The sequence below is a fragment of the Homo sapiens genome, chromosome 17 (genome assembly GCF_000001405.40).
Source record: "Homo sapiens chromosome 17, GRCh38.p14 Primary Assembly".
Classification (NCBI taxonomy): Eukaryota; Metazoa; Chordata; class Mammalia; order Primates; family Hominidae; genus Homo; species Homo sapiens.
In genome coordinates, this window is record NC_000017.11 from 2,910,634 (window position 1) to 2,936,232 (window position 25,599).

At 52.2% G+C, this 25,599-nt stretch overlaps 1 protein-coding gene across 12 annotated transcripts in view, besides 9 other annotated features; it reads left to right on the forward strand.

Moving 5' to 3' along the window:
* The window catches only part of RAP1GAP2 (RAP1 GTPase activating protein 2), a 282,097-nt gene that overhangs the window by 154,989 nt on the left and 101,509 nt on the right, over positions 1 to 25,599 (forward strand). The window lies entirely within an intron of this gene.
* Positions 1,374 to 1,895: an enhancer, noted in NCBI's record as "H3K4me1 hESC enhancer chr17:2815301-2815822 (GRCh37/hg19 assembly coordinates)". NCBI's record gives its function as "activates a minimal SCP1, AML or CMV promoter by ChIP-STARR-seq in naive H9 embryonic stem cells {active_cell/tissue: H9 hESC(naive)}" and the evidence as "EXISTENCE:reporter gene assay evidence [ECO:0000049][PMID:30033119]".
* Positions 4,396 to 5,149: an enhancer, noted in NCBI's record as "H3K27ac-H3K4me1 hESC enhancer chr17:2818323-2819076 (GRCh37/hg19 assembly coordinates)". NCBI's record gives its function as "activates a minimal SCP1, AML or CMV promoter by ChIP-STARR-seq in primed H9 embryonic stem cells {active_cell/tissue: H9 hESC(primed)}" and the evidence as "EXISTENCE:reporter gene assay evidence [ECO:0000049][PMID:30033119]".
* Positions 10,477 to 11,049: an enhancer, noted in NCBI's record as "NANOG-H3K27ac-H3K4me1 hESC enhancer chr17:2824404-2824976 (GRCh37/hg19 assembly coordinates)". NCBI's record gives its function as "activates a minimal SCP1, AML or CMV promoter by ChIP-STARR-seq in primed H9 embryonic stem cells {active_cell/tissue: H9 hESC(primed)}" and the evidence as "EXISTENCE:reporter gene assay evidence [ECO:0000049][PMID:30033119]".
* Positions 11,050 to 11,620: an enhancer, noted in NCBI's record as "NANOG-H3K27ac-H3K4me1 hESC enhancer chr17:2824977-2825547 (GRCh37/hg19 assembly coordinates)". NCBI's record gives its function as "activates a minimal SCP1, AML or CMV promoter by ChIP-STARR-seq in naive and primed H9 embryonic stem cells {active_cell/tissue: H9 hESC(naive and primed)}" and the evidence as "EXISTENCE:reporter gene assay evidence [ECO:0000049][PMID:30033119]".
* Positions 14,713 to 15,431: an enhancer, noted in NCBI's record as "H3K27ac-H3K4me1 hESC enhancer chr17:2828640-2829358 (GRCh37/hg19 assembly coordinates)". NCBI's record gives its function as "activates a minimal SCP1, AML or CMV promoter by ChIP-STARR-seq in naive H9 embryonic stem cells {active_cell/tissue: H9 hESC(naive)}" and the evidence as "EXISTENCE:reporter gene assay evidence [ECO:0000049][PMID:30033119]".
* Positions 15,432 to 16,148: an enhancer, noted in NCBI's record as "H3K27ac-H3K4me1 hESC enhancer chr17:2829359-2830075 (GRCh37/hg19 assembly coordinates)". NCBI's record gives its function as "activates a minimal SCP1, AML or CMV promoter by ChIP-STARR-seq in naive H9 embryonic stem cells {active_cell/tissue: H9 hESC(naive)}" and the evidence as "EXISTENCE:reporter gene assay evidence [ECO:0000049][PMID:30033119]".
* Positions 20,133 to 20,879: an enhancer, noted in NCBI's record as "H3K4me1 hESC enhancer chr17:2834060-2834806 (GRCh37/hg19 assembly coordinates)". NCBI's record gives its function as "activates a minimal SCP1, AML or CMV promoter by ChIP-STARR-seq in primed H9 embryonic stem cells {active_cell/tissue: H9 hESC(primed)}" and the evidence as "EXISTENCE:reporter gene assay evidence [ECO:0000049][PMID:30033119]".
* Positions 20,880 to 21,624: an enhancer, noted in NCBI's record as "H3K4me1 hESC enhancer chr17:2834807-2835551 (GRCh37/hg19 assembly coordinates)". NCBI's record gives its function as "activates a minimal SCP1, AML or CMV promoter by ChIP-STARR-seq in naive H9 embryonic stem cells {active_cell/tissue: H9 hESC(naive)}" and the evidence as "EXISTENCE:reporter gene assay evidence [ECO:0000049][PMID:30033119]".
* Positions 21,625 to 22,370: an enhancer, noted in NCBI's record as "H3K4me1 hESC enhancer chr17:2835552-2836297 (GRCh37/hg19 assembly coordinates)". NCBI's record gives its function as "activates a minimal SCP1, AML or CMV promoter by ChIP-STARR-seq in naive H9 embryonic stem cells {active_cell/tissue: H9 hESC(naive)}" and the evidence as "EXISTENCE:reporter gene assay evidence [ECO:0000049][PMID:30033119]".

Here is a 25,599-nt window from a genome sequence, read left to right on the forward strand (position 1 = left end):
TTATAGGTAAACCAGAAGCCCCAAGGTAGGAAATGACTCTCCCAACGCAACGCCGTTCCTCCTCGAGTCAACAGAATAAGTTACATTCTTTATTTTTATATTTATTTTTTGAGACGGAGTCTCACTCTGTCACCCAGGCTGAAATGTAATGGCGCGATCTCGGCTCCCTGCAACCTCCGTCTCCCAGGCTCAAGCAGTTCTCCTGCCCCAGCGCACCACCACACCCCGCTAATTTTTGTATTTTTAGTAGAGATGGGGTTTCCCCCTGTTGGCCAGGCTGGTCTCGAGCTCCTGACCTCAAGTGATCCGCCAGCCTTGGCCTCCCAAAGTGTTCAGATGACAGGCGTGAGCCACTGCACCTGGCCCACGATAAGTTAAATTCTAAGACCCAAACTAGTTTTGGTCAAGTGCTCGGCTCATCTCATGCTTGCTCATCTCACGCTTGCGGGCCCAGGGACGGCCTCTTGTGGCTCTCCCACTGGGAAGGGCTGGCTGGAGCAGTAGCTGGCCTCCAGCCTGAGAGTCTCTGCCGCGCTCCCCCCGGGCCCCCACCCTCACTGGCGTGCCTGCTGCTACCCGACCTATACGCACCCTCCCCCACCTCTTTGCTGTTTGTTTTGAAGGGGATTTTTTTTTTTTGCTAATATGAAGCTGATAAAAAGCAACCAAAGAGATGCTGACCAGATGGGCTGAATAAGATCCCAGTTCCCAGCCAGAGCTCAAACTGGCTGGTGCCGGGTGGGCTGGGAGAGGGACTTGAGGCTGCGTCTGTGGGAATACCGTAGGTGGTTTCCAGGCCCATATTTTTTTTTGGAAGCTGATTTTCATGCCCCAATGGATCAGCAGGCATTTAGGGAGGGGCAGTTGTATGCCCAGAATTGTGCTGGGTCCCCTGGGTCACATCGAAGCTGCAGTCCTCCACCCTCAGAGAGCCTGCCGTCTACAGGGGCCCTGACTGAGCCGGAGAAACCAGATGGCTCAGTGTGACAAGGCTCAGATGTGAAATGTGGCTTCTCAGTGGGGAGGAGAGGAGGGGGAAACGCTATGTGGGGAGGTGGGGTGGGATGGGGCGGGGTGGGGCAGCCGGAAGGGGCCCTAATGGCAAGCATGGGGGTCAGGGTGACCCCCTGGGACCATAGACAGTAAAACCTTCCCAGGCCCCGTGAAGTAAAGGGGTTGATTCTCCTGATTCTCTCGACGCTCATGGGAAGGACACAGAGCATTTCACTGAAGTCCACTCTGCTGGGACTTGACCTGACCTTGTCCCTGGAGCCGCACCGGGCCCTGAGCTGGCTCGGTCAGCTGGGAGGTGGCCCTTGCTCAGCCTTCCACACCCCTCTTTGTGCAAGTCTGAGGGCAGCCCCTCTCAGACCTTCTCCTTTCCAGAAGAGGATAATGTGCGCTTGGAGTTCCCACTGCAGGGACCAGCAGAACGTCTGGTTCCTCCCTTGCTCCTTGGCACGTGGCTCTCCACGGCCAGGGAATGCCCCCACCGCCTCTATGGTAGGTAAGGCAGGTGTGCAGGCTTCCTATGGCAGGGAAGAGGATGGAGATCAGAGGAGCCTCCTCCTTGCCCCTCTCTATCCCTCTGGGCAGAGCTGGGCTGGGCCTCCCTTTCTGGCTCATGGATTACCCACCGGCCACCCTCTCTCCCTGGGGTTGGGGGGTGGTGTGTGGGGGCTTCTGTTCCAGCTTGTAGCACAGCCCCCGGCCTGATTTCGTCTCTTCTTTTGCTCCTGGTTCCTGCCTCCTGTCTTCTGTTAGGCTGTGCAGGGAGACTTGCCCCTCATCAGGGTGGAGTGACAGTGTCAGCCCCCCATACATCCACCAGCTCTGGATGGATGAAGGGAGGAGGCATTTGTGGGAGGGTTGACGGGAGCCTTTCTGGGCTGGGGCAGGAAGGGCTGAAGGACATCAGCAAGGAGGTTTGGTTTTTCCCTCTTCAAGAAAACCCTGTGTAGGGACAGGAGAGGACAGATATATATTCCCTCCATCCCTACTGCTGGAGGGAGGCCCTTGCTGAAGCTCTGTGGGTCCTGGGAGAGTCACCTCTGGTCTCCACATCGATTGTGTTTCTGTTGCCGCTCCGGACATGGTTGGGATACAACCCCATCTCCTCAGGAGCCACTGCCCATTGTTCTCTTGACTCCATCCAGGAGCCAAGGAAGTTCACATCTGATTTAATGCAGGCATGAGGAAGGGCTTATTTGGCTACTGAGGGTGAGGATGCTAACTAGGAGGCTTTAAGAACATGGAGATGTTGGCTGGGCATGGTGGCACATGCCTGAAATCCCAGCATTTTGGGAGGCTGAGGCAGGAGGATCCCTTGAGGCCAGGAGTTTGAGACCAGCCTGGGCAACACAGTGAGACCCCATTTCTACAAAAAATTAAAAAATTAGCTGGGCCTATTGGCTCATGCCTATAGTCCCAGCTACTCTGGAGGCCAAGGTGGGAAGATGGATTGAGCCCAGGAGATTGAGCTTGCAGTGAGTTATGATTGCACCACTGCACTCTAGCCTGGGTGACAGAGCAAAATCCTGTTTCAAAAAAAAAGAAAAAGAAAACATGAAGATGTCTGCATGTGCACCTACTTACCTGCATGCATTTCCCTCCTCACCTGTGCACACCTGAGCATGTGCCTATTTTCCCTAATTCTGTTCTCTTTTTTTTTTGAGATGGAATCTCGCTCTTGTCACCCAGGTTGGAGTGCAGTGGCGTAATCTCAGCTCACTGCAACCCCTGCTTCCTGGGTTCAAGCGATTCTCCTCCCTCAGCCTCCCGAGTAGCTGGGATTACAGGCACACGCCACCATGCCCAGCTAATTTTTGTATTTTTAGTAGAGATGGGGTTTCACCATGTTGGTCAGGCTGCTCTCAAACTCCTGACCTCAGGTGATCCGCCGGCCTCAGCCTCCCAAAGTACTGGGATTACAGGCGTGAGCCACCACACTCGGCCTTCTGTTCATGTTTTAAGGCCAACTTGCTTATGCTTCTGGAAGATTACTCTAGGTGTAACTGGATTTTTAAAAATTTGCAGACACAGAAATGCGTAAGTCTTAATTGTATTGTATACTTTGACTAATGATACACCCACGTGAGCCATACCTTGATCAAGAAACAGGACATTTCTGCAACCCCAGAAAGTTCCCATTGTCCTGACCCAGTCAATCATAACTGCCCCCTTGAGGAGCAAACAGTGTTCTGATTTTTTTCAAAAGTGAGTTTTGTCTGTTCTAGAACTTAATTTTTTTTTTTTGAGGTGGAGTCTCGCTCTGTTGCCCAGGCTGGAGAGCAGTGACGCAATCTCTGCTCACTGCAGCCTCCGCCTCCCGGGTTCAAGGGATTCTCCTGCCTCAGCCTCCCCAGTAGCTGGGATTACAGGTGCCCACTACCACTCCCGGCTAAGTTTTTTGTATTTTTAATAGGGACGGGGTTTCACCATGTTGGCCAGGATGGTCTCGAACTCCCAACCTCAAGTGATCCGCCTTCCTCAGGCCTCCCAAAGTGCTGGGATTACAGGCGAGAGCCACCATGCCTGGCCGGTGACTGTTTATATGAAACTGCTACACTGTTTGCCAAATGGTCAGGCCATCTTATATCCTCACCAGCAGTGTCATTTGAGTTCTCGCTGCTCTGCATCCTCATCAACATTTGCCATTGTTGGTTTTGACAATTTTAGCTACTTGAACGGTATCTCATTGTGGTTTTAATCCACATTTTCTCATGACTAATGATGTTGAATATTTTTCATATGCTTATTGACTATTCTTATAGTTCTTTTTTCCCTTCCTCCTTCCTTTAAATTCGGTAGTCTTCTTGTAGGCGTTCTTTACATATTCTAGTCAAGTTCGTTTCTTTTCTTCTTCTTCTGTTTTTGAGGCAGAGTCTCGCTCTGTCGCCCAGGCTGGAGTGCAGTGGCCCGATCTCAGCTCACTGCAAGCTCTGCCTCCTGGGTTCACACCATTCTCCTGCCTCAGCCTCCCGAGTAGCTGGGACTACAGGCGCCCGCCACCACGCCCGGCAAATTTTTTGTATTTTTAGTAGAGACGGGGTTTCACCGTGTTAGCCAGGATGGTCTCAATCTCCTGACCTTGTGATCCACCCACCTCGGCCTCCCAAAGTGCTGGGATTACAGGTGCGAGCCACTGTGCCCGGCCACTTCTTTTTTTTTTTTTTTGAGACGGAGCCTTGCTCTGTCACCCAGGCTAGAGTGCAATGGCGCCATCTCGGCTCACTACAACCTCCACCTCCTGGGTTCAAACGATTCTCCTGCCTCAGTCCCCCGAGTAGCTGGGATTACAGGTGCCCGCCACCACGCCCAGCTAATTGTTTTATTCTCAGTAAAGACAAGGTTTCACCATGTTGGCCAGGCTGGTCTTGAACTCCTGACCTCGTGATCCGCCCGCCTCGGCCTCCCAAAGTGCTGGGATTACAGACGTGAGCCACTGCGTCCGGCCTTCTTCTTTTTAGAAATAGAGATGGGGACTCACTATGTCGCCCGGGTTGGTCTCAAACTCTGGCCTCAAGTGATCCTCCTGCCTGGGCTCCCAAATTGTTGGGATTACAAGCTTGAGCCACCATTTCTGGCCCATTTCTTTTCTTGTTTTTATTTTTTGGATACAAGGTCTCACTTTGTTGCCCAGGCTGGAGTGCAGTGGTGCGAACAGAGCTCACTGCAGCCTCAACCTCCTGGGCTCAAGCCATCCTTCCACCTCAGCCCCCCGAGTAGCTGGGACTACAGGCTGGTGCCACCACGCCTGACTAATTTTTGAATTTTTTGTAGGGAGAGACAGGGTTTCACCCTGTTGCCCAGGCTGGTCTTGAACTCCTGAGCTCAAGCGATCCGCCCACCTTGGCTTTCCAAAGTGCTGGTATTACAGGCGTGAGCCAACGCGCCTGGCCCATTTCTTTTCTTAACGGTGTCTTTAATGAGCAGAAGTTTTAATTTTGAAGAAGTCTAATTATGGACTCTTTCCTTTTATGTCTGTAGCTTTGTGTGTCCTAAGAAGTCTTTGCTTACCCCAGCTCACAAAGATTTCCTTCCATGTATTCTTTTAGAAGCTTTATTTTTATTTATTTTTTTTGAGACAGAGTCTCGCTCTGTCACCAGGCTGGAGTGCAGTGGCGTGATCTCGGCTCACTGCAACCTCTGCTTCCTGAGTTCAAGCGATTCTCCTGCCTCAGCTTTTCGAATAGCTGGAACTACAGGTGCCTGCCACCACACCTGGCTGATTTTTTTGTATTTTTACTAGAAACGGGGTTTCACCACGTTGGCCAGGATGGTCTCAGTCTCCTGATCTCGTGATCCGCCCGCCTCAGCCTCTCCCAAAGTGCTGGGATTACAGGCATGAGCCACTGCGCCCGGCTAGAAGCTTTATTGTTTTAGCTCTAGGTCTAGGATAAACTTGTTTTAATTTAATTATGTATGGCAGTATGTTGGGGTCTAGGTTCATTTATTGCCATATGGATACTCTGTTGTTCCAGTACTGTATGTTGAGAAGACTTTCCTTTCCTTGCTGAACTGCTTTGGTGCCTTAGTCAAAACTCTGCCAGGCATGTAAGTGTACACGTGTGTTTGTTTATTGTCTCTCCAACCATGGTGTTTCTCTGCATCAGGGATGGAAAATACGTGCCATCCGTGCCGTCAGTCCACCGTTTGGCTCCCGTGGCAGATACTGGTAATTGATCATGGCACTCTTTCCCAAGAGCTTAGACGTGGTCTCAGAATCCTGTTCAACAAAGCACCGTAGGCAGCCACTGGCAGTCATTTGGAGTTGTCATTTGAGATAAATCACTTCTGGCATCTCTGATTGAAATTGTCACAAGAGGTTATTTGCTGAAGGTCCCACAGCTGGTGAGTGGCAGAGCCAGGATGTGGGCTCAGGTTTGTCTGTGTGGGTCTGAAGCCTGTGCTGTCTTCCCCACCTCTACAGACTGCTCTGCGTGAATCATTTCAACAGGTCGCTTCATCTCCGTGACCTCCAGTCTCTTCACTTGCATAATAGGGACGGTGGCCACCGGGAGGAGTGGGTGTGGGCAGTAATGAGGTCATCCACAGAATCGCTAGTGGAGCATCTGATACGCAGGTGCTCCGTGATGGACTGTGACGATGGCGATGGTGGCGATGACAACCATGATGAGTGAGATGCAGATGCCCTTGAGAAACACACAGTCAGGGCTTCTCTCTAGGGAACCCAGAGTAGCTGGCTCATCAGAGTCCCTTGCCTCTTCTTATGTATCTTCGGGCCCGTGGCCTTCCAAGCTGGAGGCCCCAGAGCGGAGCCACGCTTCCTCAAGTTTGCTAATAGGGTGCGAGCCACGGGCTTCGGCCTAGGCGTCTAGGCCAGCTGAGCTGTGCTCCTTCTCTCTTTGTGGGAGGAACAGCTGGCTGGGTTCGTAGAATTCTCTTTCTGGGAACCTTCTTGCCCTCTCTGTTGATTCTCCAGCCCATCTTTCTTTCCTTTGGATTGGCCACATGATCCTGCCTGCCACAGGGGCGATTAATCCAGCTCCTTCGACCTGGTCCTGGACCCCTCTGAGGTTCTTCTTAAGAAGTTGAAGCAATAGAGGGTTGTAGCTAAGAATACAGTTTCTGGAGCCAGTCTGCCTGGGGTTAAGGCTTCCCCACTTCTTCTTCTTTTTTTTTTTCTTTTTTGAGACAGAGTTGCGCTCTTGTTGCCCAGGCTGGAGGGCAATGGCGCGATCTCGGCTCACTGCAACCTCTGCCTCCCGGGTTCAAGCAATTCTCCTGCCTCAGCCTCCCGAGTAGCTGGGATTACAGGCATGCGCCACCACGCCCAGCTAATTTTATATTTTTAGTAGAGTTGGGGTTTCTCCATGTTGGTCAGGCTGGTCTCGAACTCCTGACCTCAGGTGATCCACCCGCCTTGGGCTCCCAAAGTGCTGGGATTATAAGTGTGAGCCACCGTGCCCAGCCATTTTTGGTATTTTTAGTAGAGACGGGGTTTCACCATGTTGGCCAGGCTGGTCTCAAACTCCAGATCTCAGGTGATCCTCCCACCTGGGCCTCCCAAAGTGCTGGAATTACAGGTGTGAGCCACTGTGCCTGGCCCCCCCGTTTTTAAAATTCATTTTTATTTTGAGATGGAGTCTTGCTCTGTTGCCCAGGCTGAAGTACAATGGCACGATCTTGGCTCACCGCAACCTCCGCTTCCTGGGTTCAAGTGATTCTCCTGCCTCAGCTTCCCAAGTAGCTGAGATTACAAGCACATGCCACCACACCCAGCTAATTTATGTATTTTTAGTAGAGATGGCGATTAACCATGTTGGCCAGGCTGGTGTCAAACTCCTGACCTCAGGTGATCCACCTGCCTCGGCCTCCGGAAGTGCTGGGATTACAGGCATAAGCCACTGCACCTGGCCAAAGCTTACCCTCTTCTTAGCTGTATAACCTCTGTGCATCTCAGTTTCCTCATTTGTAGAATAGGGATGTATTAGCCCTGTCTCCCATTGCTCTAAAGTAATACCTGAGATTGGATAATTTATAAAGAAAGGAGGTTTGGCCAGGCGTGGTGGCTCACACCTGTAATCCCAGCACTTTGGAAGGCTGAGGCGGGCAGATCATGAGGTCAGGAGTTCAAGACCAGCCTGGCCAATATGGTGAAACCTGTTTCTACTAAAAATACAAAAATTAGTTGGGCATGGTGGCGAGCGCCTATAATCCCAGCTATTTGGGAGGCTGAGGCAGGAGAATCACTTGAACCTGGGAGGTGGAGGTTGCAGTGAGTCGACATCGTGCCACTACACTCCAGCCTGGGCAATAGAATGAGACTCCATCTCAAAAAAAAAAAAAAAAAAAAAGAAAGGTTTAACTGGCTCACAGTTCTGTAGGCTGTACAGGCAGCAGGATGCTGACATCTGCTTGGCTGTTGGGGTGGCCTCAGGAAACTTTTATTCATGGTGGAAGGTGAAGGGAGAGGAGGCAGGTCACAGGGCCAGAGCGGGAGCAAGAGAGCAAGGGAGGGTGCCACACACTTTTAAACAACCAGAGCTCGTGAGAATTCACTCATGATCTTGAGGACGGCACCAGGGAGGGGATGGTGGTAAAGCATTCATGAGAAATCCGCCCTCTGATCCAGTCAGCTCCCTGCAGGCCCCACCTCCAGCACTGAGGGTTACAGTCCCACGTGAGATTTGAGTGGGGACACAAATCCAAACTATTTCAAGGATAATAAGAGTACCTGCCCTGGGTGGCTGTAGTGAAGATTAATTGAGATAATATGCCTTTATTGCTTAAAACAGAGGTATGCAGTAAGTGCTACATAAATATTAGTCATTATTATTCCTCCAAAAAACTTTGTTTCTGAAATGTGCGGAGAATAGCAATGCTTAGAGAGACCATCTAGGGGGAAGTACACCAGGTTTTCGGTGAATATAGTTTGTCAGGACGCCCTGATTTCTGCCCTGCCAGGTGCCCACAGCTGAGGGGCCTGTCTGTGGAATGAATAAGGATTGAAATTGCATTTTGTGTGAGTGGCCTTCCAAGAGCCTTGTGGATCAGACTCCAAACCCTGCCTGATAAATGTGGATGCCCTTGAGGGTCTTGGAAAAAGGCTAAAAACCAGGATCCAGCCCAGCATCTGAGCCAGACCTGGAGGAAGGAACATCTTTCTGGGTTGTGCTTTCACCTCTTGCCTTCTGAATCTGACCCAAACAGGGGTCTCCAGGGTGGCAGAAAGAACCTGCAGGGTCGCCATCCTCATGAAGGTTTTTGGGACTAGACTGAGTCGAGACTTGGATAATTCGGGGCTGGGAGCGTCCCAAGGCTGGCGTTGGAATGAGTTTTATGAGCAGTTTGTCCCTATCATAAGTTTCTTTCCTAACTTCTTTTGCCTGCAGCTGATATTAAAATGAGTCTGTATTTCGGGGACAGATGCTGACCTTGTGGGGAACACGGGAAGTGGGGGCAGGGCCTAAAAGCCATGGGGGGCCAGGCGGGGGAGCAGCTGCCCTTTCAGCCTGGGTGGCCCATGGTCTGGGGGGTCTGGGCTGATGGTAAAGGTGACCGGCTGCCAGGCCCTCCTTCCTTAGCCCTCTCCTTTTTCCTTTTCTCTTTTTTTTCTTTTTTGAGACGGAGTCTTGCTCTGTTGCCCAGGCTGGAGTGCAGTAGCGCGATCTCGGCTCACTGCAACCTCTGCCTCCCGGGTTCAAGCAATTCTCCTGCCTCAGCCTCCCAAGTAGCTGGGATTACAGGCACCGCCCCATACCTGGTTAATTTTTGTATTTGTAGTAGAGATGGGGTTTCGCCATGTTGGCCAGGCTGGTCTCGAACTCTTGACCTCAGGTGATCCGCCCGCCTCGGCCTCCCAAAGTGCTGGGATGACAGGCGTGAGCCGCCGCATCTGGCCTCCTTTTTTCTTTTTTTTTTTTTTTTGAGACAGGTTCTCTGTCGCCCAGACTGGAGTACAGTGGTGCGATCAGGGCTCACTGCAGCCTTGACCTTCTGGGCCCAAGCAACTGTCCTACCTCAGCCTCCCAAGTAGCTGGGACCACAGGTGTGCACCACCACGCCCTGCTAGGCTTAAAAAAAATTTTTTTTAATTCGTAGAAGCAGGGTCTCCCTGTGTTCCTAGGCTGTCCTTTCCCCTTTTCTCGTCGTGCTCTCCTCCTCTTTCTGCCTGTTGGTGAGGGCTCGGCTCTGTCTCCCCTTGATGGCATTCAGAAGACTGATAGAGCACTTGGCATTCAGGGCGTCACCCAGGGGATGCCCCCAGGGGCCCCCCAACCCCCGCCCCAGGCATGCCACCTGCCTTTGGAAGCCTGACCAGCCATCCCACCCCAGAACTTAGCCCCTGGGTCTGTGACATCCCTGCCTGTTTTCAGGCCCTGCCTCCCCCGCTGGATGGTGCTGGGTCTGGGGACAGAGCCCTTGCCTCTTCCTGGGATTTAGAAACCAACTGTGTGACATCGTGCAGTTCAGTCATCTTCTGTGGACCTCGGTTTCCTCATTTATAGAACGGAGCTCACCCTGTAGGGTTACTGCAGGGATTAAAGGAGGAAGCAGGCGGACGAGGGCTTCGTCAAGTGCCAGGCTTCTGCAGGTGTCGAATATCGGCACATAATGGACACCAGTGGTTGTTATCATGGTCAATATGCCAAACACGCATAGGGTGGTTTCATTGATAATCCCGCCCTTCTGCTCTGCCAACTGCCATAGACTCTACTCCACTGAGACCGGCTCAGCAGCGGGATGCTGCCAGATTCTGTGTTCTGCCACCCACCCCCATCCGCTACCCTCTTCCATGAGTGTCATTTACCCGACACTCAAGCCTGCTGTGTCTGGGACTTCAGAGGCCAGTGGATGGTGGGTTCTGTGTTGCTTCGTGAAGGGATGTCCCCTGCGTAGATCTGTGCCTCAGTGGGTTCCTCCTGTGTGTGCCCCTCCCGCTGGCTTCTTCTCCCGGAGCCCCCCCGGCAGACTCTGCTCTTGGCGGAGTGTGGAGCTGGAGTTTCAGGCCTTGGGGTGTAGATTTGATTCCTAGGGTTGCTGTAACAAATTACTGTGAACTTGATGGGTTGAAATAAAAGGATAAAAGGAATTTCTTATCTTTTTTTTTTCTTTTTTGAGACAGAGTCTCACTCTGTCACCCAGGCTGAAGTGCAGTGGCGTGATCTTGGCTCACTGCACCTTTCTGCCTCCTGGGTTCAAGCAATTCTCCTGCCTCAGCCTCCCAAGTAGCTTGGGATTACAGGCACCGGCCACCACACCCGGCTAACTTTTTGTATTTTTAGTAGAGACGGTGTTTTGCCATGTTGGTCAGGCTGGTCTTGAACTCCTGATCTCAGGTGATCCACCCGCCTCAGCCCCCCAAAGTCCTGGGATTACAGGCATGAGCTACCATGACCGGCCAGGAATTTATTTTCTCACAACTCTAGAGGCCAGAAGTCTGGAATTAAGGTGTCAGCAGGGCCGTTAAAGTGTCCGCAGGGCCTTTAAGGTGTCTGCAGGGTCGTTAAGGTGTCAGCAGGGTCGTTAAGGTGTCAGCAGGGCCGTTATGTGTCCTCAGGGCCGTTAAGGTGTCAGCAGGGCCGTTAAGGTGTCCGCAGGGCCGTTATGTGTCCACAGGGCCGTTAAGGTGTCAGCAGGACCGTTAAGGTGTCCTTAAGGTGTCCGCAGGGCCATGTTCCCGCCAGAGGCTCGAGGGGAAGCTCCTTGCCTGCCTCTTCCAGCGCCTGGTGGCTCCAGGCCGGGGACTGCACAGCTCTGCTCTCTTCCTCCGTCTTCTTCACATGTCTCCCTCCTCTTCTCCCTGGGGGTCTCTCCTCTGTGTGTCTCTTTTAAGGACACTTGTCATTGGATTTAGAGCCCACCTGGGTAATCGGGATGATCTCATCTCAAACTCCTTCATATCTTAAAATTATATCTGTTATCTCAGTCTGTTCCAACTGTTACAACAAAATACCTTAGACTGGGTAATTTACAAACAATAGCCATTTATTTCTCACCATTCTGGAGGCTGGGAAATCCCAGATCAAGGCTCCAAGAGACCCACTGTCTGATGAAGGCCCACGTTCTGCGTCTAAGATGACACCTTCTTGCAGTGTCCTCACAGGGAGGAAGGCGGAAGGACAGAAGGGATTCGCTAGTCCCTCAGGCCTTCTATGAGGACGTTAATCCCGTTCCCGAGGGTGGAACCTTTATTACCTGGTCACCTCCCTAGGCCTTGCCTTCTAATTCCATCACCTTGGGAGGGACATGTACATTCAGACTGCAGCATGGGTAAAGACCCTTTTTCCGAATAAGGTTACACACTCAGGTTCCTGGATACAGACATATCTTTTTGGGGGCCACCATTACGGGGTCAGGGCTGCCCTCTCCTGGGAGTTCCTGGTGGGAGCTTGGTGAGGTCCCCGAGGTCTGCCAGCACCTGCTCTCCTTGTGTAGTTGTAAGTCATTCAAGTGCCACTGCAAGGGTGTGTGTGTGAGGTACAGGGTGTTGCGGGGCTGGGAGGACCCAGTGCAGCTCCAGCTCGCACAAATGGGGTAGAGCATGATCTTCCCATCCCTGCTGCCCCGGGACCTGGTACATATGGGGCCATGGCAGGTGCTTCATAAACACTTAGTAGTTGGTGCTTAATAAATACTCACAATAGGTTTTCAGTGAATCCTCATTGATTGATCCAGCCTTAAGGATGTGGCAATGAACAAAAAAGTGCCCAGTATTTTCTTTTTGTTTTTGTTTTTTTTTTTTTTTTTGAGACAGAAATTCGCTGATGTTGCCCAGGTTGGAGTGCAATGGTGCGACCTTGCACTACCTTGGCTTGTGGCACGACCTTGGCTCATGGCACGACCTTGGCTCACTGCACCCTCTGCCTCCCAGGCTCCAGCGATTCTCCTGCCTCAGCTGGAGTAGCTGGGATTACAGGCGTCCACCACCACACCTGGCTATTTTTTTTTTTTTTTTTGAGATGGAGTCTTGCTCTGTTGCCAGGCTGGAGTGCAGTGGCACAATCTCAGCTCACTGCAACCTCCACCTCCTGAGTTCAAGTGATTCTCCTGCCTCAGCCTCCCGAGCAGCTGGGACTACAGGCACCTGCCACCACACCCAGTTAATTTTTGTATTTTTAATAGAGATGGGGTTTCACCATGTCGGCCAGGCTGGTCTCAAACTCCTGACCTCGTGATCTGCCCGCCTCGGCCTCCCAAAGTGCTGGGGTTACAGGTGTGAGCCACCGCGCCCGGCCTTTTTTTTTTTTGAGACAGAGTCTCGCTCTGTTGCCCAGGCTGGAATGCAGTGGTGCAATCTTGGCTCACTGCACCCTCTGCCTCCCAGGCTCCAGAGATTCTCCTGCCTTAGCTGGAGTAGCTGGGATTACAGACGCATACCACCACGCCTGGCTAATTTTTTTTTTGTATTTTTAGTAGAGACAGGGTTTCACCATGTTGGCCAGGCTGGTCTCGAACTCCTGACCTCAGGTGATCCACCTGCCTCAGCCTCCCAAAGTGCTGGGATTACAGGCCTGAGCCAATGTGCCCGGCTGTTTTCTTAGATAATTTTTATCAGTTTTTTTTTTGTGTGTGTGCAAATAACCAGCAAATATGAAACACCCCAGACAATTTTAAATAAAATGATATATGCATATTATAAAGTTAAAGCAATTGTAAAGTACAGAGAAAATAAAAAAATGAATAATGTCCTAATCATAATCCTACCATCCAGAAATATCCGTTCTTACCATTTGCTAATCGTCCAGACATCTTGGCATCATACACATAGATAGAGGCAAACATAAATGAGATCACACTGTTTGTGCTCCTTTGTAATAAAAAGAGCTAAATTCAATTTTCCTTGCATTAACCAATGAAGAAGAAATAAACAAGTGGCTCAGAAGGAGTTGCTGAAGTTTAGAGAAATGTTTCCTCTCTGTAAGAGATATTAATTTCTCTAAGAGTTCTCTAACAGTGAGGAAAAAGATTATGATAAAAAGAACCAAACCTTTGGGGTAGAGATATTAATTTAAAAAGGTAATTTCAACTTTATACATAGAGTTTGGCTCCCTGCTTTGAATATGAGAGCCAGGTGATTTTGGAGGAGAGAGGGTGCAGTCTGGGAACTTTGAGAGTGCTCCTTTTGAGGGGACCTGCTGTTCTCAGAAGAGCAGGCTGAGTAACGGTCTGCACCTCCCGATGCCTGGAGGGAGTGTTCCGAGCCGAGGCTCAGTTACACGTGGGAATCAAGCAGAGCCCATCCCGGGAGCGAATAGGGTTTGTTAGCAAATGACATGGCTGAGCTGATTTGATTTGGCAGCAGGACTGAGAAGTTTCTGAAATGTCAGATGTTAATAGGATGGCTGGTTGTCTCTAAACGGGAAGCCAGAAGTGGGGGTGGATGGCCAGGTGACGTCATCTGCTGTAGAGGAGGAATTTGGGAGAAAGGAAATCGGAGGTGGGGAGGGGAAAAGAGGGAAGGAGGGAAGGAAGGTGGAAGATGGAGGAGAGAGGCCAGTGGCATTAGAGGTGGAGGGGGAAAGCGAATGAGATGGGGCTGGTGGAGGAGTTGGGTTTGCTTCCCCGAGGATCATACGTTGGGGTGGGCTGAGTTTGTCCTCAAATATGTTTTGTTTGGCCAACGTGATGTTAAAAAAGTCATTTCAATACTCTTTAGGGGGAATGTCCCCTCCCCAATCCTATTTCGTCTTGGAGCCTATCTCCTCCCTGGCCCCTGAAGACATCTGGGTTTGAGACCTTCGCCAGATGACCTGTGGCTCTTTCTAGAGCTCTTTCCTCCGGGGGGCTAGTGGGTGGCCCAGGCTCAGAGGAGACCAGAATTGCATCTCATCTCAGAGATGCCACGGGGATCAGGAGAATTCTGAGAATCAGGTGAGATCCCCAATGGTGCCCTGACCTCAGGCCGCTGTGGATTCCAGATGTGGTTTGGGACTGTATGTGAGTGCCCCTTGGCGGTGGTCAGTTCCGTGGTCTGGAGAGCTGGGCTGTGGGAGACAGGAGGCAGGAGCTGTTGTTCTTGTCTGCTTGGCCTCGTGCTTGGTGACTCTTGGTTGAACCGGGAAGATGTGATCTCTGTTCTTTGAAGACATAATGGCCGTGAGGAGGCAAAAACCACAGAAACCTTCCTCCAAAAGTGATGCAAGATGAGCCATTCGCACACTGCTGTAAAGAAATACTTCATCGCAGTATAAATAGAAGAAATACCGGAGACTGGGTAATTTATAAAGAAAGAGGTTTAATTGACTCACAGTTCTGTATGGCTGGGGAGGCCTCAGGAAACTTACAATCATGAAGGAGAAGCATGTGCCTTCTTCACAAGGCAGCAGGAAAGAGAAGAGCGAAGGAGGAGCTTCCAAACACGTAAACCCATCAGATCTCATGAGAACTCACTCACTGTCACGAGAACAGCGTGGGGAAAACCGCTCCCTCGCTCCACTCGTGGGGATTACAGTTCGAGATGAGATTTGGATGGGGACACAGAGCCACACCTTTGCCAGGGTAAGCTGAAAAGGCCAGGAATTCCTTGGATGATGCTCTCCCTGCCTTTTCTCTAAGAGGAGGTTGATTCTGGGGCTTGGAAGGTACTTCCAGGCCATCCTTGAAGGAGCTCAGAGTGAGTCCTTCAAACACCAGCATGGAAAAGCAGAAAGCAGGCCAGCAGCCCTGGTCAGATCTGGGGAGCAGGAAGGCAGGTCTGCAAAGCCTGGGGAGGGTCCAGTCAGCGTGGGTCCGGGCCGGGTTAGGAACCTGGTCAGGCCAGGCCCGGTGGCTCATGCCTGTAATCCCAGCACTTTGGGAGGCTGAGGCAGGTGGATCACCTGAGGTCAGGAGTTTGAGACCAGCCTGGCCAACATGGCGAAAGCCCTGTCTCTACTAAAAATACAAAAATTAGCTGGGCGTGGTGGTGGGTGTCTGTAATCCCAGCTACTCAGGAGAGTGAGGCAGGAGAATAGCTTGAACCCAGGAGGCAGAGGTTGCAGTGAGCCGAGATCATGCCCGGGCAACACAGCAAGCCTCTGTCTCAAAAAAAAAAAAAAAAAAAGGAACCTGGTCAGAGCAGAGCAAGGCTGAGCCCTGGGGGTAACTGAGCTTAGTGTTACTCATGGAGACAGGAGCCAGGAAGCGCAGGCCTCCCGGCCCATCGGTGCAGCCTGACTTGGCGTGGACAGCCCCACCTCCACGGGCAGCGCCCACGTCCTCTTCACACGGCATGATCTCTACAACCCATCTGGCAGCTTTCTCCTTGCTGTGTGAGTCTTGGGCCTGGTAGAAGTCAGGAGTGTACACTTGGTTTTTTGAGGAGCAGCTCAGAGCTTCAAGGCAGTTACAACAATAAAGCTCACTGCACACTGTGAATATGTGCCCCAGAGCATCGCAGTTTTGAGGATGGGAGTGAGACTAGCAGTTCAGAGGCACGGTGCCAGAGTGTCACAGTTCCTCCCTCCCCCAAAGCCAGCTTGTACTTGAACCTGTCGGGAGGTTTCTATTAGTTTCTTATGGCCGCTGTCACAAATACCCACACACTTAGTGGCTTAAGACAACACAAATCTATCATCTTACAGTTCTGAGGTTAGAAGTATGGAATGGGTCTCACTGAGATCAAATCAAGATATTGCCAGGGGCTGGGCGCGATGGCTCACATCTGTAATCCTAGCACTTTGAGAGGCCGAGGCGGGCGGATCACCTGAGGTCAAGAGTTCGAGACCAGCCTGGCCAACATGGTGAAACCCTGTCTCTACTAAAAATACAAAAAATACTACAGGTGTGGTGGTGCATGCCTGTAGTCCCAGCTACTTGGGAGGTTGAGGCAGGATAATTGCTTGAACCCGGGAGGCGGAGGTTGCAGTGAGCTGAGATTGTGCCACTGCACTCCAGCCTGGGGAACAGAGCAAGACTCCATCTCAAAAAAAAAAAAAAAAAAAAAAGATATTGCCAGGGCCGCATTCCCTCTGTAGGCTCTAGGGGACAATCTATCCTCTTGTCTTGTCAGCTCCTAGAAGGCCACCTGTATTCTGGCCCCATACCTCTGTTTTCAAGGCCAGCCACGCTGGAGCAAGTCTTTTTTTTTTTAGACAGAATCTCGCTCTGTCACCCAGGCTGGAGTGCAGTGGCGCGATCTCGGCTCACTGCAAGCTCCGCCTCCCGGGTTCAGGCCGTTCTCCTGCCTCAGCCTCCCGAGTAGCTGGGACTACAGGCACCCGCCACCGCGCCCGGCTAATTTTTTGTATTTTTAGTAGAGACGGGGTTTCACCGTGTTAGCCAGGATGGTCTCGATCTCCTGACCTCGTGATCCGCCCGCCTTGGCCTCCCAAAGTGCTGGGATTACAGGCGTGAGCCACCGCGCCCGGCTGAGCAAGTCTTTCTCACACCGCCGTCTCTCGGATTCCCTCTCTTCTGCCTCCTTCTCATTACAGAGACTCTTTTGATCACACTGGGTGGACCTGGGTCATCCAGGCCCCTCTTCCCATCTCAGGGGCAGCCTTAATTCTAGCCACAACCTGAACTCCCCCTTGCCGTGTAACCTCACACATTCCCAGGTTTTGGGGATTGGGACAAGGGCACCTCTGGGTGTGAGTGTTGGGGGGCAGTATTTGGCCTATCACAAGGACCCACCTTCATGGGCTTTGCTCAGCCCTGGGTCCTCATCGGTAAAATGGGCATCTCTACCTGCTTCCTAGAGGAAACGCTAGCCGGCCCACCGCATAGCGGGCCTTCCCTCTGTGGGATTCCGTAGTTCTGGGACTAATTCTTCACCTGCCTGATCTCATTGCTTTGCGAGCCCGTGACTGATGATACAGTATCAGATGTCCTTGCCCTGATCCCACGACCATGAGACTTGAAGGGCAGGGATGGAATATGTGCCTAAGCATTTCCACAGAGAGAAGAGGGACATAGCACACACGCTGCAGCCTAGAGGAGCTATGACCTTGGTTTTGTTACCGTCAGTCAGCTGCTTGCTGATCCCCCAGCAACTGATGGAACTGATGGAAAAGCCACCACTCCTTGAGAGAGGAAGAAAAAAGACTTATGTTAAGCTTTGCCCAGCTCTGATTTGGACTTGCCCAATTTTACTTGAAGGAAGGTGCCACTGTCCGCTTCCCATTCACACATCGCCGCCTTCCTCCTGTCTAACCGGAATCTTTCTTGTTGCAATTTCAGCCTGCTGGCTCTCCATGCGGCCGGTGGGGAAACAGCAAAGCTGGTTCCCACATTGATAATGACACCTAATCCTGCAATCTGCTTCTGTCCGGTTCTAATCACGCCACTGCTTCCATTCCCAGGAGGACCAGGGGCACCCTCTGTTTCGTCCTGACAAAGTGGACTGCCCATGGTTGACAGCCTGCGTGTCCGGGGTCGCCTGGGGGTGAGGGTGGGAAGGTGTGGGAGGGACGGAGGCACTGCCTTCTGCTCAGATGAGCAGCACGTAGATAACCCTCCCCAGGTGACCTGCCTGGCATGGAAAGTCCTTCTCGTGGTCCCCCAGGTCAGATAGCGTTGCCTGGCTACGGGGCAGTCAGCGAGGCTCCGGCAGGGCGAGTAAACAGGCACACATGTTTAAAATTCAATATCACTGGCGGGCAAACACTCCAGCAGCGCCTTCCAGCCCACCGATAATCTCTAATTCTCCTCGCTTGATGCGTGTGGGGGCCCTGCACCAAGACCCAGATGGTCTCTTCTGGGAATTGGTCGTCAGCTGTTGTGAGGGATGGGGAGTCGGAGGGGTGGGGGTGCCTGTTATAGCCTCAGCCTCATGCAGACTATCATCCTGATCGCTCTGGGCAGGCTCCTGAGAGACCCAGGGGCTGGTCTGGATTCACTGGCTGGGTGGAGCTTCCAGGGTGGGGAGCTGTCTGGGTTCAGTGGCTCACACCTGTAATCCCAGCACTTTGGGAAGCCGAGGCAGGACAATTGTTTGAAGCCAGGAGTTCAAGACCAGCCTGGGCAACATAGCAAGACCCCTCCATCTCTAAAAAACAAAAACTAGTTGGGCATGGAGGTGCACCCCTGTAGTCCCAACTACTTGGGAGGCTGAGGCGGGAGGATCCCTGGAGCCCAGGCATTTGAGGCTGCAGTGAACCATGATCGCGCCACTGTACTCCAGCCTGGGCGACAGAGTGAGACTCCATCTCAAGAAAAAAATAAAAGGCAGGGGCCTTTGGGGAAGCTCATGCAGATTTTTGTCTGCCTTAGGCTGCAAAGAGGCTGTGGAGGGGGCAGGGCCTGTGGAGGGTGTGCACCCGGCACAGGCGATGAGTGAGGGCTGGAATCTGGCAATCCCCTGGCCCCGCCAGGTGACTGTGATGGGCGGCATTTATTAAGAGGAAGGGGCGCTCCATCTGCAGGGTGGAAGAAGGTAAGCCAGCCTCCTCTTTGCTGGAGGTGCACACATGGCTGCCTGGGGCATCTCCTGGGGCAGTTGGTGAGCTGGTTCCTGGTAAAGTCATTCCTCGTAGGGATCGTTTGGCATCAACACGGGGAGCAGGTGAGGTTGACTGTTTTCCCTGCATGTGCCTCATGCTTGCCCTCTTCCGTTGCTTAGGCTTCCTTCCCTTCACTGCCTTTCATGTGTCAAGGCCAGGTTATGCCCCTGGTAGCGAAGACCCCGGGACTGCCCTGCCCGCTCCACGAAGGCAGTGGGCTCTTTTCCTGGGTACACTGTTTTCCAGAGGCAGCCCTGATCCAGGCTGCCTGATAGTTCCAGGAGATGACGGTCCTGAGGGTGCGTGCCCAGCCTGAGGCTTGTAGGTTCAGCCCAGATCACCAGTGCACCCCGAGATCACCAGTGCACCCACTTCTCCAGTAGACATGGCCTGTCCTTCAGGCCTCGGCGGGGGGCAGGGCCACGATGAGCAGACTCGTCACTCCCGGAGCCACCTGCTCACCCTTCCCTCTGAGTAGCAGTGTGGCCAAAGGACCTCTTAGTTTAGTGCCTTGGGGCCATGGTGTGTCACCTGCCCTGTGTGGCTCTGAAAGGCTCCTGGAAGGGTGTCTGGGACTGTAAGAGGCCAGGGCTCTCTTCGAGATGGATCTGCCTTGCAGTCAACTGCCTCAGCCTCATCCATCGCTGGCTGGGAGATGACTGGGAGCGGGATTGTCCCAGCTGTGGGTCTGGACCTTCCTACAGTGGCTCACCAGGCCCCCTTGTGGCCAATACCATCAGTACCACGTGGGAGCCTGTGGCTGGGGCTGGGGGTCTGGGGAGGGGTGACAAGCCCACCAGCTGCTCACTGTGCCAGCTGGGTAGACCCAGAGGGTCAGGCGGCCAGGAACTGGGACCCTGCCCTGCGTCCACTGCCAGCCTCAGTGCTCAGGTGCCCTGGAGACCTCATTAGACCAGGCCTGAGTGGGGGCGTGGCAGCTTCCTCACTCGGAATGGAGGCTTCTGTTACTTGCCCTGCATTTCCTACTTCGCAGGCTCATCCGGAGTTTCAGTCTTGCCTGGCCTGCAGCTTCAGCCGAGGTCTGCAAGGCAGCACCAGCTCTTGGAGCCAGGTGGGAATGCCGCTTCAAACACACGCACAGAGGCATCGCTCTCTTTTGGTAGAAAAGCTGTCGGATTGTAAGACAAAGGCTGAGGTCTCTAACGTGTCCTCCTTTACTCTGGGTGCCTCTTGTGTTACCTTTGTGCTTGAGTGGGGGGACCACAGGACAGGCAAATTAGAAACTGCACGAAACAAAACAAAATGCAAAGAAAAACAAAATCGAAACAAAGAAATACAATATAAAACAAAACAAAAGAGCTGGGCGTGGTGGCTCACGCCTGTAATCCCAGCACTTTGGGAGGCCGAGGCGGGCAGATCACTTGAGGTCAGGAGTTTGAGACCAGCCTGGCCAACATGGTGAAACTTCATCCCTACTAAACATACAAAAAAACTAGCCAGGCGTGGCATGCCCTGTAATCTCAGCTGCTTGGGAGGCTGAGGCAGGAGAATCGCTTGAACCTGGGAGGCAGGGGCTGCAGTGAGCCGAGATCGTGCCCTTGCACTCTGGCCTGGGTGACAGAGCGAGACTCCATCTCAAAAAAAAAAAAAAAAAAAAAAAGAAGAAGAGAAACCACAACAGATGATAACTGTTTATGGCAGGAGGGTGTGTGCAGCTGGGTCATGGTCCCCACCTTTTGGGCTGATAAACCTGGCTGAGGGCTAGGCGTGTATGTTTGCCATGAGTGAGTGTTTCTTGTGTGTGTGTGTGTGTGTGTGTGTGTGTGTGTTGGGTGAACGTGACTGTGAATGTTGTGGTTAGTTCTTTGTTGTATCAAGTGTTTTGGATGTCTGTTTGGGGGTGGATATTGTGGGACGCCACGTTGGTGTGAATGTATCTGCAGCTGAGTGATTCCCCCAGCCAGGACAGCGGGGCCGGGAAGGACAGCCCATTGTCCCTACCCTAACCTCGTTAGGGCCTCGTTTGCCCCAGCACCCCCTTCTTCAGCCCCAGCTGGCAAAAGGGGGTGGGGCAATCGTGTTATTTAACATACAGCTTATAGGGAAGAGAGCTGTTGAGCATTAAAGCCCCCATGCGGTTGTTCATGTATAATTAGGCTGTGGGAGCTTGGGGACTGACTGACTGTTAGAATCACTCGGGACCGAAGCACTTATTTAAGTAATCATTAACTGGAAGATGGGAAAGGAACAGAACATGCAATTTGCAGATGTCCCCTCTTCTTGCAGGTCAGCCTGAAATGAAACTCCCAGCAAGTGAGGAGGCTGGCGCCTTGCTCAGCCTTCCTCTTCCCTCTGGTGAGGGGAAGGGCAGGTTAGGGGATGCTGGGGCTGAGTTGGGGTTATGGAGATGGCATCTCTCAGGCACATCAGAAGCACAAGCCCCCCAAAATTTCCAGCTTCTCATGACTCCTTCGCTGACACCGCCCTTTACCCAGCAGCACAAAGATATATAATGATATATTCAGTTCTCAGTCCGGCGCATTTGATCAACACCTGCTCTGCACTAGGCCAGGGACGGCTCCAGCAAAGTCCCAGTAATCCGTTGTCCCAGGTGGAGGAGGATGTTAACAGGAAGAGCCCAGATAATTGAAATTCTGGTTTAGCTCATCTGTAAATCTGCTTTTGCTGCTTCCCAGCAGTGCTGATGTGGTCATGGGGGATGGGACGCTGTGTTTTCCTCCTTCGCGCTGAAGCAGAGGGTGCCTGGCTGGGGGTCTCTAGGCAGGAGCGTGTGGGAGCGGCCAAGTTCTGGAGCAGTTAAGGCTGTTAGTGGTGACGGGGCACCTCATGGTCTCTCTGGGGGACAACTGCAGCCCCAGTGGAGGAGGAGGGAGACTGGCCAACTGCATATCCCATAACAAGTGTGGGACCCGGAGCTCAGGGAGAGGAGAGGGAGGAAGGGTGTTCGGTATGTGGTGTGTGTCTTGGCATATGATGCCTCTTGCTTTGGAAATTCTGTGAGGTTCCATCCTTTTTATTTATTATTTATTATATCGCGCCACTGCACTCCAGCCTGGGTGACAGAGTGAGACTCCATCTCAAAAAAAAAAAAAAAAAAAAGAGGAGCTCGAGACCAGCCTGACCAACATGGTGAAACCCCGTCTCTACTAAAAATACAAAAATTAGCCAGGAGTGGTGGCGGGCGCCTGTAATCCCAGCTACTCAGGAGGCTGAGGCACGAGAATCACTTGAACCCGGGGGAGGCAGAGGTTGCAGTGAGCCAAGATTGCACCACTGCACTCCAGCCTGGCAGCAGAGCAAGACTCCATCTCAAAAAAAGAAAAAAAAAAAAAAAAAAAGAGCAGGGACCACGGGCAGGGTATGGGTTCCATGTCTGGTCTGTGATGTGTTCCCTCTGGATGGGCAAACCCAGAAGCTTCTTCAGCCCCTTTCCTCCTCCAGGCACAGGTCGAGGCTGGGATTGCGGGAGGAGGGGAATGGCACTGGGATCTGGAGTGCCTGGTTCTCAACACTTGCTTGGCAGAGGGGAGGAGGCCCAGTGTCCCCGCGTACAGGGCAGCATGGCTGCGGTTTCCCTCCTCCATGAGCCAGCCAGCCAGACAGTGGGCAGGAGAGGGCGGGAAGAGAGAAGGGCGAGTGGAAGGAAATGGAGTCGTGTGGGCGGGTGAGCAAGTTGGAAAGCGCCTGGTGTAGAGAGGAACATTGTTGGGGAGCAGAGACCACTGTGGAGTGAGGGAGGGGGCCAGCTGTGCCTCTTGACACAGCCAGACACCTGCCCGCCAGGGCCAGTAAAGTGCCTGGTGTAGAGAAGAACCTTGCCTGGGGGGCAGAGACCACCGTGGAGTGAGGGAGGGGGCCAGCCGTGCCTCTGACACAGCCAGACACCTGCCTTCCAGGGCCAGTTAGGAGAGGGTACAAGCTGCGGAGCCCATGGGGCTTTGCATTTTCCAGGGACAAGGAAGCTTGGAGCGAAGCAGAGATTTTCCGGGAGGCCAACACCTCCCTTTTCTCCCACTCTGTCAGCCTGGGGGGCTCTTTATTCCCATTCTTTAGAGAGAGACACGGTGGAGAAGATGGGACCACAGCTGTGGCTGCTGGGTAGACCGAGGCCAAACCAGCCCCCTGCTCACTTTCCTGCCTCTAAGCCTTTGCCTGGGCTGTTCCCTCTCCTAGAATGCCTAACCCTCTAGTTGACCCTGTTACGGACCTGGCAAGGTTAGTCTTGAATAACCTGATGAGATTTCCAGAGCTGCTTTTTTCCAGTTCCCCCACTAAGAGGCTTAGACCTGAAGCTGAGCCCCACTTTGGGGGAAGACTGGAAGTTTCAGGTTGAAGACCGGATCAGGACCAGGAGCTCGGCCAGCTGACGCTGCAAAGCCTGCCTTGGAGAGTCTGTGGCGTAGGAACCTTACGCCTTAACCAGCGTGGGCAGCTCGGAAGCAGGAGCCCCAGTTGTTTCTTGGAAAAATGGGGCCGATTGCCCCAAGGCAGCCACGCCCTTACAGAGCCTCTTGCAAATACCCACAGGGTCACCCGTCTTTGGTCACAGCCACGGATGGCGTCCGTCATCCATGCCTCATCTTTATCCTGTTTGTACTTTAGGTTGGTTCAGTACTTGACTGTTTACAAAGCACTTTTTTTTTTGAGACAGAGTCTTGTTCCGTTGCCCAGGCTGGAGTGCAATGGCACGATCTCGGCTCACTGCAACCTCTGCCTCCTGGGTTCAAGTGATTGTCCTGACTCAGCCTCCTGAGTAGCTGGGACTATAGGCATGGGCCACCATGCTAGGCTAATTTTTGTATTTTTGGTAGAGAGGGGGTTTCACCATGTTGACCAGGCTGGTCTTGAACTCCTGACCTCAGGTGATCTGCCTACCTTGGCCTCCCAAAGTGCTGGGATTACAGGCGTGAGCCACCGCACCCGGCCTTGCAAAGCACTTTCTTGAACTCTTCTGGTTCTTGCAGAAAAGAAGAATGATTTCCCCATTGCGCAGAGAAGAAAATGAAATACTCCTTTTAGCCAGCTGGTAAGACACAAACCTGAGTCTTGAGATTTCAAATCCACTGTTCTTTCTGTTACCCCAAGAAATAATTACTGAGTACAAATAATTACTGAGTGTCTACTACTGTATTTCATTGCTTCGAAGACACTTTCTTCCCTCTCATTTAACAACTCTGAAATCAGGGTGCATCTCATGAGCAATAGCACACCGTAATTTGTAATTGGAAGCATTTTTGCTTTCTTAGCGGAGAACAAAATAATGTGTACCTTCCAGTGGATGTCCTTTTAGTTTGACGAAATCTGGTGCGTGCACAACTGTGGTGTGTGTAAATATGGCCTCTGCCTGCAAGGTGTGCAGTTTAGAGGAAAGATCAGTCTTAGCTATTCGTGTGAAACAGAATATGACGCCTACCAAAACCAACTCGAGTGCCGTGGGAATTCCAGCTGAGGGGCTTCAGAAAAGCTTTAGGGAAGACGGGTGGGATTTGGCCTCTCAGCATCCTGTACCATCTGCATCAACCAGCTGATTTAGACAATACACCCAAGCCCTGTTAGAGTGAAGGCTCAAAACTTGGCCCCTGGAGGCTGACTATGGGTTTGCATTGCCTGTCGTTCTAGATGTTTAACTCTCAGCCTCAGTTTTCTCAGTGACAGAGTGGATGTGATGATAGTGCTTGCCTCACAGGTAGGCGTGAGGATCAGATAAAAGAACATATTCAGGCCAGGCGCAGTGGCTCACACCTGTAATCCCAGCACTCTGGGAGGCCGCAGCAGGTGGATCACCTGAGATCAGGAGCTCAAGACCAGACTGACCAACATGGTGAAACCCCATCTCTACTAAATACAAAAAATAAGCTGGGTGTGGTGGCGGGTGCCTGTAATCGCAGCTACTTGGGAGGCTGAGGCAGGATAATTGCTTGAACCTGGTAGGCGGAGGTTGCAGTGAGCTGAGATTGTGCCATTGCACTCCAGCCTGGGCAATAAGAGTGAAACTCTGTCACACACACACACACACAAAAGAGAACGTCCCACATCTTTAGTCAAGGGTCTGACAGATAGAGTGAGAGATCAATAAATGTCACCCCCCCGCCCCCATCCTGAAATTAATTCTATAAATCCAGTACACGTAGAGCCGGCAGACATTTGTCGTTCGATCACTGTTGCAATGTCAAGCACGTTCACATTTGTGGCCTCATTTGATCTTCGGAAGTGCCGGAGGATGGGGATCATTACTCCAGTGTCACAAAGGAGGCAAGTGAGGCGCGAGGCCTCACAGCTGGCCGGTGACCGGGCTGGGATTCGGAGGCTGGTCTGTCTGACGCTCAGTCCCATGCTCTCTTCACCGGATTGCAGCTGCTGGAGAAAAACCACAAGCAAGGAAGGAAACGCGGCCGATCTGGCGGGTTTGCTCCAGCCGGGGTATTTTATAAATGAATGATCACTGCTGGGCATCCTTAATAGTGGGGTTTCTGGTTTCGAGAGAAGAGAGGTCTCATTTAGAGGCTCAGGAGGCTAATTTGACGGTGGGGAGATGTGCGCAGACCGCCATCTCCTCTCCCTGTCTCCACCTCCAGTGGCCGGTGGCCAGTTTTGCCTCTTTTTTTTTTTTTATTATTATACTTTAAGTTTTAGGGTACATGTGCACAACGTGCAGGTTTGTTACATATGTATACACGTGCCATGTTGGTGTGCTGCACCCATTAACTCGTCATTTAGCATTAGGTAT